This window comes from Homo sapiens, chromosome 15, assembly GCF_000001405.40.
Source record: "Homo sapiens chromosome 15, GRCh38.p14 Primary Assembly".
Taxonomy (NCBI): domain Eukaryota; kingdom Metazoa; phylum Chordata; class Mammalia; order Primates; family Hominidae; genus Homo; species Homo sapiens.
Window position 1 is genome coordinate 38252809 of NC_000015.10, and position 20596 is coordinate 38273404.

Sequence of the window (20596 nt, forward strand, 5' to 3'; positions counted from 1 at the left end):
CCGCCGACTCCTTCCTGGCCGGACCCCGCTGCGCTCCACCCCAGTGGCTGGAGGAGCAGCTCTCCAGTCAGCCTTTGCAGCCCCTCTCTTTTTCCCTTTCCACCGGGCCTCCTCGGATCCCTTGGCTGGGCACTGAGGCGGGGGAAGAGGCTGGGGTCGCCACGGCGGAGGTTGCTGCCGCCACCCCCCTGCGGGGGTGGCCGGGGTTCCCGGCTGGGGGGGTACCGTTCTGGGTGAGGCATCCACCATGGTGAGGCCCCTGTGCCGCTGCCCCCGCGCCCCCCCGGCCGCCGCTGCCTCCTGCCCCTCGGTGCTGCTGTTGCTCCCCCGCCTGCTGTTGCTCCTCCATCTCCAGATCGGATCACGGTGAGGGAAAGATGAGCGAGGAGACGGCGACTTCTGACAACGAGTAAGCGCCTCATTGATCTCGATTGCTAATCCCCCTCCCCCTATCCGCCCTCGGCTCTCCCCCAGACCCATCCGAAACTTGGGTGCCGGAAAGCTTGCGACCCTGGAGAGTTCGGTGCATCTTCTGGAGATAGCTGATTTCTTTAGCCATTTTTAGTGGCAGCACCCCTCCCCATCCTCCCACATTTAGCTGCTTTCTTTTGGGGTAGGGGATTAAGTGTTGGGAGAGGATGGCAATTGTACGTCTATGAGAGGGAATAATGTGGATGGATGGAAGTGGAGTAGAAACTACCCCTTTGCCTGTGAGACCCCTGTCCCGTCCTTTTTCACTCACATACCAGTCACCATACCTTCAGTATCCATCCTACTTCCTTTATAGCTGTTTCACTTGGAAACTAATGTGTGGGAGCACCTCCTGCAGCAAACTGCTCTTGAATCTTAATTCGATGAGTCAGTGACTCTTAAATACCGATTAAGCCTTCACCCTCTCCCCCCTCCCCCTTTTAAACTTATGACCTGTAAGATTCTTGTAAAAAATAGGGTTAGGGAAACATTTTTAGAATTTAATAGGATTAAGGACACCTGGAGTGTGGGCGATGTTGAGCTAGAGTTTACCTTTGTGAATATTGGACGTGTCTTCAGGAACGGAGAAGAATTTTGAATGCTAATTTTTACCTTTCAGCTATGTGAAAACACATGATTTACGTTGATGTAACCGAATTTACATTGCTGAATATGTTGGTGATTTCATTAACTTTTAGAGCATTCCGGTTTAAGTTTTAGCTTATTTGGGCTTTCTCCTTGCTTTCCAAACGAAATACTTCGTCTTTTAAATGTTTTGCTTTAACGTGACAGCTGCGTGGAGAAATAATGGTTGGCAACACTTTTCTATTGAGAAGGGATTTAATTCCAAGCAGAATATTAGCATCCGTTTTCTTGTAATTAAGTTCAACTTTTGTTTATCTTCGGAGGGTTGGAAAGAGTTAAGTGAGTTAGGACTTAGTCATTTGGATGCATTCCTTTAAATACAGTGCATTACTAAAGTCAGACCTTTTTGAAATAACTTTTTAAAGTCTGTACCGAGTCCTGTTTAACGTAAAATAGCTAGAGAAAGGCCAAACAACATTTCCTCCTCCCTTACTCCCTCCCCACCCCAAAACACACGCTTCTGCTGAGCGGGTGTAGAAGGAGGTACATTGCTGCAGTGTCAGTGCAGTGTAGAAGCAGAAGTGGCAGCCATGTTCTGTCTCTTTTTGTGAATCGCCCTCATTTGCATAGCACACTCTTCATTCATAAAAAAAATAATTAAACATCCATCACCTTGGACATCTTGAAAGGATTTCCCAAGAAAAAAAATTCGCGGCTTATTTGTCTGTGTGTAGATTTTTGAGTTCAGAAGGTAAGAAGAATGTGAAATTTTAGGTTAAATTTAAAAACATACGCACACACAAACAACTACCCCTGTTCTGAGAATGTTGACACAGTTATGTGGGAAATATCAGTTCGGGGAGGTGCTGGGATCACGTGATCGCCTCCATTCATAAAATACCTGGCTGTCCATTCAGAGTGCAGTACAGTCTCTCCCTGCCTTCTGCAGATTAGACCTACTTTGAGGGAGATCAAGAAGTCTATCTCAGATAATGGTTATTTAGGAGAAGAACTGCTAAAAATGCTGAACCGAATGACGGTAACTTTTATTGGTATCTTTCAAAAAGTTTGGATTAAAAATGTTAAGTTTTCTTTTAGAGATGGGAAAAGACTTCTTACCAGTTTAATTTTTTTCTTAAAGCAGTGAATATCTCCTTGTTTCCTTCTGGTTGCAGCTAATAAAAAAAGCAGATGATGGAATGTGAATTAACACAAGTAAAATATATTTTTTCTAAATGGCCATTTTTTTAAATACTTGCCATAAATAAATTGAGACAACAGGTTTTTTTGTATAGTGATAGTGCGTTCCACTGCTATTACAGTAAATTGAGAAAATACTCCCAGTGATTTAATCCCCAAGATGTTGATATTTGAAACACCGATGGCAATCTTCAGTGAGAGGATTGCTTTAAATATTTTTTTTTCATCTAAATGTACTTAGTATGGGACAACTTGGAAATTATCTCACTCACCCAGACTTTTAAAATCGTTTTTTCACAAATTTATCCTGCTTTATTAATAAATTATTCCCTAGGAGCTTTGTAATACTTTTTAAGTTTGGGCAGGGCGATAATAATATTTAGCATAATATTTTGGTAAACTCTTCATGGGAACAAAATCTTGGGGGTTTTACTTTAAAAAACTCTATTATATTAGAAAATAATGTGTTCATCTGATAATCAGTTTTACTAGAGCCAGCATTGTTTGCTTGTGCATTAGATAAACCACAGAGTGAACTTATTTGGAATGTAGCTTTTAATATAGTAATTTATGTCTCATCTTTAATAGGTGAACCGTTTTGAAATGGAAATTTATTATTTATAGTCATTATGAAGAAAGATACGTATCATGGCAGAAGCCATTAAGGCCTTAGCACAGTTTAAAACTGCCCTGTAACATGGATTTTATTTGGGCCTTACATTTTTTTCCCTTTTCTCTTTTTTAAAGCCATTGCTCATAGGGATTTAATTACAGTAGGGACTATTTTTAACATTCTTTAGTTTCTTTTTCACCTGATTTCAACCTTCAAGAAAAGTGAAAATCACCAGTTTCCTGGGAAACCATTAACCCTTTCTAGATAGCCATTGTGGTAAAATCCAGTAGGGCCTCATTCTGAAATCCTCGAGTACATGCTTATTATTTGAAATTAAAGTTTTATGTAGAGAAATGGATAACTCCTAGGCTGACTGTGAGAATATATTTAATCAAGAATTAGTGGGGGATCTGTTATGTGTAGGGCTTTGCTTTAATGCCAAACCAAGTAAGGAAGAAATAAATTAGAATAAAGCATTTCTTAGATTGTTTCACATTTATGTTTAAAAATCTTACTTTTCAAAAATAGTAAACATACTCTAGAGCAAAAGAATTTGTGTTATAAATAGTAGAGGAAATAGCCACATACATGTTTGTTTTGTAGGTAATTTGCACAGAGACTGTTTAATACTCCAGTCAAATGTTTCCGATAGATATAACTGTACCATATTTTACATTATTGAATTAGCCTTCTAAATAGAGTTTTAAACATTTAAAGGCATATTATATAATACTTAAGAGTCTTTGTCCTTTGGTATTGAGTGTATATAGCACTGCATGTCCTTTTGTCAATTTGGCCAAAACATTTGGAGAAGTGAAGTAGCTGAAATAATAAGCATTTGGCTTATTAGGTTCACGTTAGCCAGAAACACTTCCTGTGTCAGTATTAGGCTTTCTAATAGCAAGTTGGGATTATATTAGATTTTGGAATTAGGTTAACTAGAATTAGACCATGTATGATAAACGTACTATGTTGTAATCTGAGTTTGAACTGTTTTTCCGTAAATAGAAAGCAAATTTTTATGGTTATATCATTTAGTGCCTCATAAAAAATATACCCAGTGGTGAGTTATTTTTGATAAGTGTAAATAAACATATGTTCACCCCATACATTTTACGTATGTATATGTATGTACACACACACACATATATATATATATAAAATTGGAAAACATTCTAGAAATAAATGGAAGCACTGGAAAGCTGTGTAATATTAAGCCATCTAATGTTTGTTTATATAGATGTGGTGTATACATAATATAAAAATTTGCTTATTATTCAGTTGGCCTGTGTAAAAATCAGCTAAATGACTGCATACTTGCTTCAACTTAATTTCCCTCTGCTTTCTCACTTAAAACTTTATGATCCTGAATTATATATTTTAAACACATTATGATACCATACCTAGAATTCCTCTCCTTACAAACTTTTGTAAATTTGTCATTTTTCCCCAAAAGACCTTCTCTCTTCCCCTCTTTCAACACTCTGTCCCTCTATGTTGCCTCTGTACTTCGTACATATGTATATTAGTTTTAAAATCATATAATATTGTGATTATTTACTTATTTCTATGACCGCTATTCTGTAATTCCCTACTTTTGTTTGTATGCCTAGCACAGTGCTTGATGGCAAATGCTCTACAAATGTGGTTGAATTAATGGAGCCTCATTACCTCATTTTTTTGTTTTCTCTGAATTTATGCATTTGAGATCATTAGCTGTATTAGAAAAAAAGGCCGAAAAAGAGTATGGGAAAAGTAAATTATTACCCGTTTAAGAAGGCTTACCTTTTTTTTTAAGAAAAGACAAAAATTGGCCTCATTTTTGACATGTTTTGTTTCTGCAAGTTTGAGAAATAACTTAGATCAGGCTTAAAAACTGTCCTAAAGTGCTGTTGGGATGTTTGGATGTGCTTGGCCTCTGAGTTATGTGGTGTATCTGAAGACCCGTGTTATATCCACAAGAAGGTAGACATTTGTGTGTCTGTCTTTTTTGGCATAGGAAGCTCAAAATTTAGGAATATGTATCTCCAGCTGTTTATCAGTTTTAAGTCTTTAAATTGCTCTCCCTTTCCCCCATGGTTCCACATTAGTGCCAAGGGTGAGGAACTGACTAGGGATAAAGAAGTGAAATTGATCAGGAAAGGGTAAACAGCAGCAGATTCCGTGATTTTATACTGCAGCTGTTGGTGACTGAGAACTGCCTAAGGGGAAAGTGTAACAATTTAGCCTTTTCTCTGGTGTTGTATAACTTGAACTTGACTAGTCTTACCCAGTTTGGGGAAATGATTGGTAAAGACAAGCCTGCTTTTCTTCTCCATCTTTCAGTAGGAACAGGAACGACATTAAAAATGCCAATTTAAAAAATGCTTCACCCCATGTAAGAGTAGTAGTTTATTTCAGATAATGTACAAAATGATCTCTAAAGTGAGTAATAATTTATTTGCAATTCTGCCATTAAATAACAGCTGCTAAAATTTTGGTCTACATGGAAACCTTTCTTATGATGTTGGTGATGAAACATATTCATTTATTAGATTTTTACTGTATGCCAAGCACTGTTATAAATGCTTTATGAAAGCATTATGTAGTTTATATATATACATGTGTTTCTTCTCAGTGGAATGGAATTGCACAGTGGGTACAATTGTAGCTTAATGTGAATATTTTCTTAAGTCGTTAAATATTCTAGAATATAATTTTTAGTGGCTACATTATGTTCAGTGTATGATATACATTAGTTGTAATCAGTCTCCTATTGTTGGATATTTTAGTTATTTTTAAACAATGTTGCATACCATCCTGAGTTCTGTCTCCATCCAGATCTCTTACTTTTCCCTTGAGATAGTCTAAGAATGGAGTTAAAAGAGAGGAAAATATTTAATTTTATTCTTTCTGTTAAATTGCCCTCTAGAAAAGAAGTATTTAGTATATGAGAGTGCTTAAACTTTGAAATGTCTGTACAGTTGTCTGAATTTTTCTTTGCCAATTTTGAAGGTAGAAAATGAAGTCTTATTTTTTAAATGCTTTATGGTAAAATAAAATTGATTTAAAAACTTATTAGGTTGTTTTGCGGTAACTAGAATGTTTTTAAATGCTATATTATAAATAGAATTTAAGTGCTCATGTAAAAGCCATTTGTACATCATTTATTTAACTCTTACCATCTTCTGTGCAGTATGGTATAGTCTAAAGAACACTGGACTTGAAATTGGGAGATGGATTTCTTTTGTAGCTATTTTTAATTTATTCTCTAATCCTGGGCTCTGTAGGCCTCAGTTTGCTGATTTATAAATTAAAGAATTTGGACTAAGCATCATATGTGCCCTTCCTTTGTTGATGGTGTATGATTTAGACTTTGTTAATTTTATTATATTGTTATTTTTGACATACTTAAACAAAAGACTTAAGAGTAGAAGTGGTAGGAAGATTAGGTAAAAGCATGCATTTTGAACAATTAAGATACAAAATTTGGAAACAATTGGTATATTAATAGTCTTTTAAGACTTACTTTGGGCTTAATAGCCATGTATCTTTGATGACACAAAATTTTGTACTACTCAATTTTGTTTTTTATGTATTTATTTATTTTAAAGAGGCAGGGTCTTGCAGTGTTGTCCAGGCTGGAGGGCAGTACAGTGGTATGATCATAGCTCACTGCAGCCTTGAACTCCTGGGTTCAAGTGATCTCCCACCTGTGCCTCTTAAGTAGCTAGGACGACAGGTGTGCCACCACACCTGGCTAATTTTAAAATTTTTTGTGGTGATCGGGTCCTGCCCAGGCTGGTCTCAAATTCCTTGGCTCAAGTGATCCTCTTGCCTTGGCCTCCCAAAGGGCTGGGATTACTGGCATGAGCCACCATGCACAGCCCTCATTTTAAAAAAGAGAAAAAAAGTATGGCCTCCATCTGTGGATGAATAAGTAAACAAAGGCTATTGGGCTTAAACACCAACTTGATTAGTTCTACAAGGAATATGCTAACAAGATACCAGTCTTTATGCTTTACTTACAGAAGTAAGTTTTTTACTAGGTCACTTATACAAATCAGTAATGTAACACTAGGGGATAACTGTATATTAGTTTAAGAAGTTAACTCAGGTAATGAATTTTGTTATTCTTTAATGTTTAGATTTATGATAAGTATTATGTCATAGCTGCATCTCAGAATCCAGAACCAAAATTATTACATATCTGTGAGATTGTGTTTTTGCGATACTCAGAATGAAAAACAGTTCATTAATAATGGATTTCACGCTAAGGTATTATGTTGCTGTAGACAAAGCATTCTTAAAATTCAGAGTGTTTGCGGGCTTGAAGGAAAATGTGACGTTCTTACTAATCTCAACCTGAACATTCATAATTAAAGGAAGTGTTAACAAGCTATGACAGTATTAGAGGTACTTGTGACAGCAAATGTGTTAGTTTTTATTGCTGCTTTAACAACGTACTACAAATTGGGTGGCTTAAAAAGCAACAACAAGTTTATTGTCTCACAATTACTAAAGGTCCAAAATCAAAAAGTTGGCAGGGCCATGTTCCCTCTAAAACCAGTAGGGGAATCCTTTCTTTTGTCTTCCTTGCTTCTGGTGGTTGTTGGGAACCTTTCACATTCCTGAGCTTGGAGCTGCATAATTCCATGTCTTCATCATCACATGGCGGTGTTCTCCCTGTGTGTTTCTATCTTCATTTGAGTGATACCAGTCATTGGATTAGGAGCCTACCCTACTGCAGTATGACCTCATCTTAACTAATAAGGTCATGGGGCTAGGACTTCTACATGTATTTTGGGGGAGACACAGTTCAACCCATAACACCAATAGAAACTACGGATTTTTTTTTTCTTATAGCACAATTGCTGTTAGCTGTTACAGCTATCTTGAAATACCATTTATAGTCATCACTAATTTGAAATTATTATAGTTATTAAAGCTATTGCTAGAGCATATATTTTAAAGTGTTAATAAAGAACCGCATTATTACCATATCAAAATGAAAAATATTTCAATAACTATGTCAATATAATTAATTTCTTTTGTAATACTGTGTATGTTGTTTTAGGCCCCTAATATTGTTCTGAGAAAGGGGTCATAAGCTTTACCAGGCTGCCAAAAACATCCATGACACAAAAGGCTAAAATCTTCTGCAATGGACAGAAGCCCAGAAGCCTGAACCCAAAGATAGAGATATAAAATAGGAAGAGTAAGAAACATGAGGATAAGATGAGTAACTCCAACATACAGCTAACAGTTCCAAAAGAAGAGAATAGAGGAGACGAAATATTACAAATAGTGGCTGCAAATTTTTAAGAACTAGCAAATCAAACCTCACTCAGCGAACTAGAACAAAACAAAGCCTCACAGTCAAATGGGGTTTATCTTGAGGATGTAAGAATGGATCAACATGAGAAAAGCAGTGCATTTTATCACATTTGAAGATTAATGGAGAGAAATGATACGATCTTAATAAATGCCAGAAATGTCATTTAATCTCTGCCCATAATAAAGTAAATGTTCATAAATATAGAGACAAATTATTTTTCTGCTCTCTAGAATTTCAGATTTTTAATTTTTCTGATTTAAAACGAGGGTGTGGGATTTACTTAACTTTGGGATTTTAGTCCAAGAGTTCTAGAATCATAACTGATTTTTTTGTACTTCTGAATTAATATATCATTTCTGTTACTCAGATGTAGGATTGACTGGTGGAAATTGCCTTGTGTCTGAAATTTCTGAATTACCTTGCAAGGCATTTCTTTCTGTGTTTGGAGAGCAAAGAATAACCTTTAGTAAATTCAAGAGTAATTGGAATTAAATTTCAGCCTAATATCAGTTTAATAATTTTATGTCTAAATTTAATCTGTATGACAGGAGTTATAATTTGTTTTTGTTTTTGTTTTTGTTTTTTTAATTTATTTTTTAGACGGAGTCTTGCTCTGTCTCCCAGGCTGGAGTGCAGTGGCGCCATCTCGGCTCACTGCAAGCTCCGCCTCCTGGGTTCACGCCTTTCTAACAGGAGTTATAATTTGGATAAAGGCCATTATGAACTTGGAATGTGGAATGTAATTCTTTTTCCTGGTAGTATTTAGTGATACTATTGCATGTGATTAAACACATTTTGCTTGAGCTGTTCATGTAGTTAGGAATTACATTCACAAATACAGTGTTTTTTAATGACTTCTATATATTAGCATCCCGTGGCAGGATTGCCAAAAATTTAGATAAAATTTAGTGAGTTGTGTCTTTTCTGATGCCACTTTTTCAAAGTTACTGTAACTTTTACCACTTCAGAGTGTTTTTATTCACTTCAGCACAGTCACCAAACTCTTTTTTTTTTTTTTTTACTGTTTTATTGTGTTATTTTTATACTGTGAGATTGGGGAGTTCTGGGGTTTCCCCCCTTAATATGTAAAAGCAGTATTAAACATTTCAGAATTTTAGTTGCTGGATTATATATATTGACTTTTTACACTTTCAGGATAGATTTGAACAGGGACCATTAATAACTTTTTCCTAAAGAAATTCAGTTCAGTGGCATTTGAATGAGTGCTTACTAGGCACTTGACTTTTGCCTTAGCTTTGGAGATACAAAGATAATTAAAACTTTAAAATCGCTATCACAGTCCACAAGGGAAATAGATACTTCTGAAATGTGATGGGTGTTCTGGTTATAAAGTTCTTCAAGGCTCAAGGAGAAAGTGATTCTACCTGGGAGTTGGTGGCAGGATGGTGACTGTGTGAAGGAAGGCTTCAGGAAAGAAGTGGCATTTTAAGAGTCAGCCATGAATGAGAGCATGGAATGGGGGAAGGGTATTCCAACCAGGAAGAGAGGGGGCAGAAGACAAGCACAGAAAGAAGAAAAAGTTGGAGGAAAGGCAATACCTTTTTGGATACAGTTGTTTGGAGGAGTTGTTAAGGAAAGTGTTGAGGGACCAGATTGTGAGTAGTGTAGATTTGTGCTTACCTGTATATCACCAACTGTGGGGCAAGGGATGGTGGCTAGGCCTAAAATATGAGACACAATATGAGCATGGCAGAAGCCCCTGGAAATCAGTTTTTCTTGAAAAGTTGAATATTTATCTGACTGGTTAGTAATAAGATGAATTTTGAACAGAGTTCCCATTAATTTTATAGATGAAACACCGAAGAGTTGAAAGAAAATTTGTTCTTTGAGCTACCTTCCCTCCTCACCACAACTATCTTTAGTCAGTAAGGATACTTAATGAGAGACACCAGGTGAAGTTTTCATCATGTAGACAGTGGCGACTCAGTATTTTAAGTGAGGGAATGATAATCCAATTTGTGTAAAGCAGGGCTTCTTAGGACAGTTGACTGGAGGGAGAAGAAAATGAACTTCAGTTGATGAGGAAGAATGTAGTAAGACAACAAAACAGAGCTGGGAATAGAGCATTTGGAACTATTGGGGACTCATATGAGAAGAAATTCAAATGTCCAACGATTATTTGACTGAATGTGAAGGAAGGAGTAGGAAGGTTGTGGGATGACTTGAACATTTTAAATTTAGGCCGCTGTAATGCTTTTAAATGAAGGTGGGAATAGAGATGAACCCGGTTTTTTAAATGGGAAAATAACCCAGTTTTGATCTTTTTTAGTCTGGGTGCTTACTGGATGTCAAGGTAGAAAGTGTCCAACAAGGTGCTTTAACTATAGGTTGAGTTCTCAAAAAGGTTAAGAGGGTAGAGTTATAGTGACATCTTCAGCATATATAGTAGTTGAGGCCAGTGGAAAATTTCCCATTGAGAATATTAAGTAATAATGGAAAGATGACAAGTGAGAAACAGCAGTGTTTTTAAGGGAGAGTAGAAGAAAGAAGAGACGCCAAAAGACGGAAGTGGCTTAAGTGGTAGGAGAGCTCTGAGAGGAAAGTATTTTAGAAGCCAAGGGAAAAAGGAGTATTGAGAAAGCGTTAGATATCACAGAAAAATTAGATTGGTGATTTCTAAGACAAGGATATAACCGTTAGGATGTCATTGACCTTTGTGGGAGTAATAATGGGGACAGAAGTCAGGTTTTGCTATAGGTTGAGGGTGTCCAATCTTTTGGCTTCCCTGGTCTACTTTGGAAGAATTGTCTTGGGCCACCTATAAAATACACTAACACTAAAGGTAGCGGATGCGCTAAAAAAAACGAATCACAAAAAAAATCTCATAATGTTATAAGAAAGTGTACAAATTTGGGTTGGGCTGCATTCAAAGCCGTCCTGCCACATGCAGCCCATGGGCCGCGGGTTGGATGAGCTTGCTGTAGATTAAAGAGAAAATAAGAAGTGCTGAAGCAGAGAAGTCATAGAGTAGATGCTAGTCATTTAGGGCGAAGTTAGTAGTTGAAGTTTATTTGTTGGCTCATGTCAGTAGTGGAGAAGAAGAGAAAGAAAGACTTAAGGAATGGCATAATGGATGGAGCAAGGCCTAGGACAGTCTATCAAATTGTTTTACTGGTTGTCACACACTGTTAGATTTAATCCTTCTAAAGATCATGTGAGCTAAGTATCCATAGTTTACAGATGAGATAACTGAGACTCATGAAAGGTTTAGTAACTTGCCATGGCCACGCAAGAGAGTAAAGTGGTAGAACTGAGATTCAAACTGCACAGTATTTATACCACACTGTACGTCATATACTTTATTGACAGACTAGATTTTAAAGAAAAAATTAGCTTGAAGTGGTAGATTGACACATAGAACTGATAGCTGTTTTGAAGAACTGCAAGTTTTGGTAAAGTTAAAGAGCTTGTAGAGTGTAAGTGGGAAAAATGGAAAGACAAAGAGATTTTGATCATAGAACAATGGCTCCAGAGTGATGACATGTGAGGGAAGATTAAAGTAGAAACAGGGATGAAGGTTATTGGAGAAGCCAGGATCTGCTAAAATGTTTTTTTTAAAAAAGAGTGAACAGTATGGATGTTTGGATAGCTAGGGTGGTATCAGGAGTTGAGGTGGAGAGAAATCCTAAGCCAGTGCCAGTGTATTTAATGTGAGTGTGGGTTGAGTGACTTAGAGTGCTGGTATCACTGTTGCCACCTCCCTCTGCAATCAAGAGAGACAGGGGTAAGGATTTTGGAATTGGAGGTTGAAGAAAAGGGTATTGGGGAAGAGGATAAGAAAAGGGAAGGGTTTAGCTGGGAAGATTTGAGAGTATTTGCAATGATAGGATGTCATGTAATAATGGTCCTATCAGGAACGAGTGATTCTGAGAATTAGCAAGTAGAGGGGAAGAGAGACATGTAAATAAACTATCCAAATTAAGGTCTTATTAAGAACTTTACGTTTTTATGAGAGGCAAACCAAGATGTTGACTGATATTGCAGGGTTTTATCCAATACATTATATTGTCATTTATGGGATTTTGTAGCCTTTGGGTTCTCCATTCTTAATGTGGTTAGAGAAGCCCTTTCAAATAAAAATTTACTAATTTAAATTTTACAGTTAACCTGGTGTTCACAACTAACATAATCCTGGGGTTACTGCTGACTGTAGCATTAAGACATTGGCAAATAACATAACCTGTCTTTGTCCTTGCCTTTTATCTATAAAACCAGGATAATATGTCCCTACTTCAGAGGGATACAACCTCTGAATGTAACCTCTCTCCCTACAATAACATTTTTTGATTAGAGATAAAAGAATATTAAACAGAACTTTTAGTTCTTCAGAAGGAAGGTACTATGTTTATAAAATAATCAGTGCTCATTTTCATTTAGCCTGAAGGTGGGGTCGCTTTTTAAAAAGGATTATTAACCTACTAAGAAAAATTGTGTTTCATTTTAAATGTTAGAAAGCAACTTTTCAGAAAAACTTAAAATCTAAAAATTCCAACATTAGAAAAAAATTTATATTGTGAAAATTTTCTTCCATGTTCTGGGCAGACTGAAGAGGTAGATGTAACTAGTCTTGAGTAGGTTAATAAGACAAACAACTAGCTCTAAGTAGTTTTTTTTTTAATTTTTAATACAACTATTTAGTTATAAAAGGAGTATATTTCTAGAACTTATTAAAATAATTTTAATACCTGAGCACAGTTTGGAAGTCTAAGTAGATTCGGTGTCTTGCCATCATTTTTAATGGAAAAAAACATCTTACAGTTCAATCCAGGAACTTTCAAATATTGTTGTATGGCAAGCAGAAATCTATTTTCGTGGGAGAGAATGGGAGAGGAAGATTTTTCAGCTTAGGGGAATTATTAAGTTATTAAAGGTTTAGAATTTAATTTTTTTGCAGCTGTAATTAAACTAAGATTCCTATTAGATGGACGCACTATTTCTGCCAGCTAGAAATTCATTGTTCTTGATTTAGTCTGTTAACTGTAATTTGGACAGCTGATGGTCTGTATGCTCATGTTTAGTTAAGTTTTATGGTCATTAAAAGCTAAAGCAAAAATACGTTTACATTTTGCTTTAGCCTGATGTTTAGTCCTAGCATTCTGAAAAAACTGTATAATTTGTTAATTCAAAAATAATTGCCTTGGACACATAATCAGAAACTTGGTTTAGGAATGAGTTATGTATGAATCAAAATCTTAAATGAGCATAAATCAGGGACTTAAAAATATGATGAAGAATGCACATACTTTTTCTCTTGATGAAGGTTATTGGATCCAAAAATCAAACTTAATTAACTTAGTAACAGTTAAGAACATATAACAGCCTTAAATGATGTATCAAATTAGGGCCAGGCACGGTGGCTCATGCCTGTAATCCTAGCACTTTAGGAGGCCGAGGTGGGCAGGTTGCCTGTGCTCAGGAGTTGGAGACCAGCCTGGGCAACATGGCAAAACCCTTTCTCTACTAAAAATACAAAAAAATTATCCAGGCATGGTGGTGCATGCCTGTAGTCCCAGCTACTCGGGAGTCTGAGGCATGAGAAATGCCTGAACCCGGGAAGCTGAGGTTGCAGTAAGCCAAGATCGTGCACTGTGCTCCAGCCTGGGCAACAGAGTGAGACTCTGTCTCAAAAAACAAACAAACAAACAAACAAACAAACAAACAGGATATTCTTCAACTTTGTATTATCATTTTTAAAGAGAAGGAGAGTGGCGAGAGATGGATGAGACAGACTGGCTTCTAGCCACCTTAGTTTTCCTTAGCAATGTTTCCTAGTCTTGATACTTGAAGAGCAAGCAAACTGAGCTTCTAAGTGAGCCAAAAAGAAAAAAAAAAAATTATTGGATGTTGTATATAGACTCTACTGCTTTTGAGTCCGAACTGTGTTTTGTGTACTAGGCCCTAGCATATAACACATAAGAAGCATAATTTGACTTACAATTACTGGCTAATAGCAGATCATCCAATTTTTGCATTTACCCTATCTCAGATTTAGTCAGGTGGTATAAGGAAAAAAATGAAAGTAAGCTAAAATCCTTTAGGAAAACAATGAGCAATAATTACATCAAAAGAAATCAACTAAAAACCCAGCACAGCTTTCAACTGCATCTAGTTCCATACACATTTTTGCTTGTGTACATACACATATTATTTACCTGATTAAGTATATCACCTGATATACTTAATATAAAGACTTAGGCGTATATCTAGTTTTTAAATAATCATTTTAGTACTGTAATATTTCACATTGTTTTACCAAAAGTTTACCTACTTGTTATCTCTTTAAAGAACACTTTAGGTTTCCAGCTCTTTGCTATTACAAATAACATTTTTAAGGAGCATCTTTTTGCATATAAATATTTTCTTCTCTTTAGTAAAATTTCTTAAGATAAATTTACAGGAGTGGGATAAGTGTGTCAAAGAGTACAAGTGGTTTTTTAAAATTCTTAATATGAACTGCCACTTCTGAAAATTCACATTTTTTTCTATCGTGGATTATTTGTAATGAAATTTGTTCTTAAATTTCTTAGATTCCTTTTTTGTTCTTTGGTACCTTGTGGTTTTATGTAGCTCTCAGTACATAATTAAATGACAGCTCATATATGAGTAAGTAACAGCATTGGCCTAAAATCATTTCATGCATTTAGTCTTTATAATAACCATGTAAGTGTTTGTTATAATGTTACTACTCCCATTTACAAAGCCAAGGAAACTGAGGTGCAGGAAAGTTAAATGACTTGGCAAAGATTACATACTTGGTAAAGTCTTATGATTCCAAAGCCTATGCCCTAAAACAATGGCTTTCAGACTTTTTGACTGCATCACAGTAACAAACACATTCTGCATTTTGACACTTTGACATCAGCAGTGTACATACACGCACGTATGCCCATAGGATATACATATGAAAAGATTTAGTGTTTAAAAAGCTTTCCATCTTTTCCTAATACACATAATTAAAAACATTTCATATTGGGAAAACAACTGTCCTAGTGATTAGAATTCAGTGTTCACATAACTCTGAGTTAGTTTACTGGATTTACAAATAATTATATACTTATAAAAGATTAATTTGCAATACATTGCTATATCATTTGGAGCACTTCAGTGAAGACATCTGAAAAAGCAATGATGTAATAACATTTGCTGTCTCTACTCTAGCTACAGCAATTCAATTCTGAATTCTTCTGCAGTCCCTCACAGCTCAGCCTTGAAACCCACTCTTGTGAGTATCCTATGCCTTTTAGTATTATCTCTTATTTTCATGAAATAAGCTGAACATAAATGTGAATCTTCACTACCAACACGGAGGTACATCCTTAGAGGAGAACAACATCCCAAATACTTCACAGTAGTTTAGAACAGGGAATTTTTCAATGGCAATGGGTCTCCATCAGCATTATGTTTCCATGTAGAATGGAATAGAATACCAAAGTCAGCCTGTGTGTTGTCACAGTAAGTCTAAGTTGTTTTGTGAAAAGTTATGTGTGTGCGTGATACACTTACCCTTGTGACTACCAGTCATTCCCAAACAAATTCACAAGGATGTTGAGACCATGTAGGGGGTGGGGGAATAGCCTAAACATTTAAAAGTGACCAGGGTATAGTAAATGATAAATCATCATACAGGACCCATCATTTAAAAAGATATTGTTAATACTGTGTTATTTGAGCATACTTTCCTTATTGCTTTATGTTAATGAAAGTAAGGTAATTAAAAGATTTTTCACAGGTTGTGTTAAAAGTGTATGGCTTCAGTCTCTTAACCTTGTTTTCTAAGTTTTTACTGTTCATTCCTTAATAGTAACCATATCATCTTAGTTGGAGAGGGATTCCTATCTACCTCAGTACATTTTCAGTCTTTGAAATCATCAGATTATAAAGGAGTTGTAGAAACAGAAATCATATTTATAGTACTAACTTTTTTCTTTTTTTTTTTTTTTTTTGAGACAGAGTCCCGCTCCGTCGCCTAGGCTGGAGTGCAGTGGCGCGATCTCGGCTACTGCAAGCCCCGCTTCCCGGGTTCACGCTATTCCCCTGCCTCAGCCTCCTGAGTAGCTGGGACTAAGGTGCCCACCACCATGTCTGGCTAATTTTTTTGGTATTTTTAGTAGAGACGGGGTTTCACCGTGTGTTAGCCAGGGTGGTCTGGATCTCCTAACCTTGTGATCTGCCCGCCTCAGCCTCCCAAAGTGCTGGGATTCCAGGCGTGAGCCACCGCACCCAGCCAGTACTAACTTTTTTTTAAGAGACAGTGTCTCTCACTTTGTTACACAGGCTGGAGTGCAGTGGCACAATCACAGCACGCTAACCTCGAACTGTCAGGCTCAAGTGATTAATCTGTCTCAGCCTCCTGAGTAGCTTGGACTACAGGTGCCTGCCGCCATGCCCAGTAATTTTTAAATTTTTTTGTAGAGACAGGGTCTTGATTTTGTTGGCCAGCCGGGCTGGTCTCAACTCCTGAGCTCAAGTGGTCCTCCCACTTCAGCCTCCCAGAGTGCTGAGATCACAGGTGTGAGCCACCATGCCTGGCCCTTACTACTAGCATTTAATTCATTGTCTCTCACTGTTTTTTCCAAATGTTTGTTACTTTACTGAAAGATACTACCTTTGTTATCTGCTAAAATTTTTACTTCCATTTGCTGCCAGTTGGGCTTTATTAGAATTCTTTGAGAATCTAAAGCAGTGAGTACAATAGAACATTCTGTGATGATGGAAACATTCTGTTTGTGGTATCCACTATGGTAGCTACTATATAGTTATTTGGCTGTACTTGAAGTGGTTTGAGTGACTGAGGAGTTAAATTTTAAATTTTATTTAATTTATATAGCCACAAGTGGCCAGTGTTGACTGCTGTATTGGATGGCACAAATCTGGAGCATTTCTTTCTTTCTTTTTTTTTTTTTTTTTTTTGAGACAGAGTCTTGCTCTGTCTCCCAGGCTGGAGTGCAGTGGCACGATCTTAGACCACTGCAACCCCTGCCTCCCAGGTTCAAGTGATTCTCCTGCCTCAGCCTCCCGAGTAGCTGGGATTAAAGACGTGTGCCACCATGCCCGGCTAATTTTGTATTTTTAATAGAGACGGGGTTTCAACCATGTTGGCCACGCTGTCATGAACTCCCGACCTCAGGTGATCTGCCTGCCTCGGCCTCCCAAAGTACTGGGATTACAGGCATGAGCCACCATGCCCAGCCCAAATCTGGAACATTTCTATTCCTTCAAGCCCAACACCTTTTTTGAAAACTATGACATGTTCTCCATTCACTCTGCTGAAGAAAGTTTCTAATTGTTTTTTCATGGAGAGGTAACTTGAGGTAGCATAGCTTTTTCCAAAATGTGGAATTTGCCACTGGTATGTAAGATAATTTTAGTTGTTTCACAGACATGGCATTTATATTAGTCTGTTCTCACTGCTATAAAGAACCATCTGAGATGGGTAATTATTAAGAAAAGAGGTTTAATTAACTCACAGTTCTGTAGGCTATACAGGAAGCTTGGCAGGGAGGCCTCAGGAAACTTACAATCATGGTGGCAGGCAAAGGGGAAGCAAGTATTAGCAAGGCAGAGCAGGAGAGAGCCAAGTGGGAAGTGCTACACACTTCAAACAACTAGATGATCTGAGAACTCTATCACAAGAACAGCGAGGGGGTAGTCTGCCCCTCTTTCAACACATGGGGATTACATACTCGACCTGAGATTTCAGTGGGGACACAGAGCCAAACCAAATCAGCATTAAATTAAATTGAGAAGTTATTCCTTTCTTAATACTTGTTGAATTTTAAATTAAAAAAATGTATGTATGTATGTATATATACTAATTAGTATACTAATCTTCATATATCAGCTTTTGTACATATGTCTCTTGAACTGAGTGAAATGTTTTCTTTAAACATTTCTTGTTGATACCTTTGAGGTAGTGCTTTGTAAAGCTAATCATCTTTATGATCTGCTAGATGAACCATAGATTGTTGTTCATTTGTTTGTTTTGCTTTATTTTACCTTTTAGACACTGGGTTTTTAAAGATAAATATTATATAAAAATGATTCTTCTGGTGATATGAGAATTTACTTAATAATTATTGAGCGACAAAGTCATTAGACCCAATAATAAATACCTAATTATCCGTGTATCATGCCAAAGTGTGATATTATCTAAATGTCAGATGTTAAAGTGTTTAGATTCTATGAAAATAGTGTTTAGACCTGTTTCAGTAAGGAAATGTCTTTTAATTCAAAGTCATGTGTATGCTGCATATTTTAGTGGTAATTAAATGTTTCAGTGCAGCAGACCCTAAAGGATCAATCACACATGTGCATTGGAATGCTGGGCTAATAGAAACAGCCAAACAGATGGAGATCAGGATGTTGCAGCATTTCTTAGTAGTCACATTTAGTCCATCTCCTGGATTTTACATTGCTCTTAGGTTTGACAGTCATTAATGTTGATACTTAATGAAATAGAGACAGCTAACATTTATTGAGCACTTATTATATGTTAGAGAAAGGATAGAAACTAACATTTTTGAAGCTTACTCTGTTCCAGGTGTTAGGACAGTAGGCTTTAGAGATGAATAAAATCTAGATCTTTCCATCGTGCAGTTCTCAACCTAATGTTAGAAGTAAATGATTGATTGGTTCTTTGGTAAAAAAGGACTTAGAGATATTGATTCCCTGCTAGAGGAAATACATTTTTCCCAGGAGAGTGAGAAAAACTGCTGAAAATAAAAATTATTTCATTAAAAAAATTTCCATTCTTATTTTAGATTTGGGGAGTACATGTGCAGGTTTGTTACAAAGGCATATTTCATGATGCAGAGGTTTGGGGTATGACTGAACCTGTCACCCAGGTAGTAAGCATAGTACCCAATAGTTTTTCAACCCTTACTTCCCTCCCTCCTTCCTGCCATATAGTAGTCCCCAGTGTCTATTGTTCCCATCTTTATGTCCAGGAGTACCCAATATTTGGCTCCCCCTTGTAAGAACAGTGGTATTTGGTTTTCTGTTCCTGCCTGAATTCACTTAGGATAATGGCCTCCAGCTGCATACGTGTTGCTGCAAAGGACATGATTTTGTTCTTCTTTGTGGCTGCATAGTATTCCATGGTATATATGTACCACATTTCTTTAACCCACTGTTAATGGGCATCTGGGTTGATTCCATGTCTTTGCTTCAGTGATCATGAGTGCACGTGTCTTTTTGGTAGAACAATTTATTTTCTTTAGGATATATACCCAATAATGAGATTGTAGGGGTCGAATGCTAGGTTTTTTTTTTGAGATGAAGTCTTGCTCTGTTGCTGAGGCTGGAGTGCAGTGGTGCAATCTTGGCTCACTGCAACTTCTGCCTCCCAGGTTCAAGCCATTTTCCTGCCTCAGCCTCCCAAGTAGTTGGGATTACAGGCACCAACCACCACGCCCAGCTAATTTTTGTATTTTCACTAGAGACAGGGGTTTCACCATGTTGGCTAGGCTGGTCTCGAACTCCTGACCTCAGGTGATCTGCCTGCTTCAGCCTTCCAAAGTGCTGGGATTACAGGTGTGAGCCACTGTGCCCGACCTCGAATGGTAGTTTGGTTTTAAGTTATTTGAGAAATCTCCAAACTGCTCTCCACAGTGGCTGAACTAATTTACATTCCCAGCATTGTGTAAGTGTTCCTTTTTCTCTGCAACCTTGCCAGAGTCTGTTATTTTTTAACTTTATAATAATAGCCATTCTGACTAGTGTGAGATGGCATATCTCATTGTGATTTTGTTTTGTATTTCTCTGATTATTAGTGATATGGAGCATTTTTCCTTAGGTTTGTTGGCAACTTGTATGTCTTCTTTTGAGCAGTGTCTGTTTATGTCTTTTGCCCTTTTTAAAATGAGGTTATTTGTTTTTTGCTTGTTCAGTTATTTAAATTGCTTATAGATTCTGGATATTATGTCTTTGTTGGATGCATAGTTTATGAATATTTTCTCCCGTTCTGTAGGTTTACTCTGTTGATAGTTTCCTTTGCTGTGCAGAAGCTGTTAGTTTAATTAGGTCCCACTTGTCAATTTTTTTGTTACAATTGCTTTGGAGGACTTAGTCGTAAATTCTTCTCCAAGGCCCATGTCCTGAATGGTGATTTCTAGGTTTTCTTCTACGATTCTTATAGTTTGTGGTGTTACATTTAAATCTTTAATCCATCTTGAGTTAATTTTTGTATATGGCTGGGATAGCTGGCTAGCCATATGCAGAAGAATGAAACTGGACCCCTACCTTTCACCATGTGTAAATTACCTCATTTTGAAGAAACATCTTTATGTGTTATACTTAACTTTATAGTTCAGTAGTAGTCTTGTGATCTAAGTAGCTACAATCTTAACTGTTTTTGATTCACTTTGAAGTTTGTATGGCATGATAGATTG

At 36.9% G+C, this 20596-nt stretch overlaps 1 protein-coding gene across 5 annotated transcripts in view, besides 2 other annotated features; it reads left to right on the forward strand.

Annotated features, from left to right (window-relative positions):
• The window catches only part of SPRED1 (sprouty related EVH1 domain containing 1), a 104414-nt gene continuing 83845 nt past the window's right edge, over positions 28 to 20596 (forward strand). For 2 of the 5 annotated variants that reach the window (XM_047432199.1, XM_047432200.1), the window contains exons 1-2: positions 28 to 409; positions 15366 to 15429. Coding sequence is in view for 2 of the 5 variants with exons in the window: in XM_005254202.4 (XP_005254259.1) it covers positions 378 to 409 (32 nt within the window). In the remaining 3 variants the exon portion in view is untranslated. Of the gene's footprint in view, positions 410 to 1976; positions 2096 to 15365; positions 15430 to 20596 lie in introns of those variants that run through there. The other 3 variants (XM_005254202.4, NM_152594.3, XM_047432201.1) reach the window with 2 other exon arrangements.
• Positions 118 to 177: a silencer, noted in NCBI's record as "silent region_6303". NCBI's record gives its function as "represses an Ori minimal core promoter by ATAC-STARR-seq in GM12878 lymphoblastoid cells {active_cell/tissue: GM12878}" and the evidence as "EXISTENCE:reporter gene assay evidence [ECO:0000049][PMID:35858748]".
• Positions 188 to 237: a silencer, noted in NCBI's record as "silent region_6304". NCBI's record gives its function as "represses an Ori minimal core promoter by ATAC-STARR-seq in GM12878 lymphoblastoid cells {active_cell/tissue: GM12878}" and the evidence as "EXISTENCE:reporter gene assay evidence [ECO:0000049][PMID:35858748]".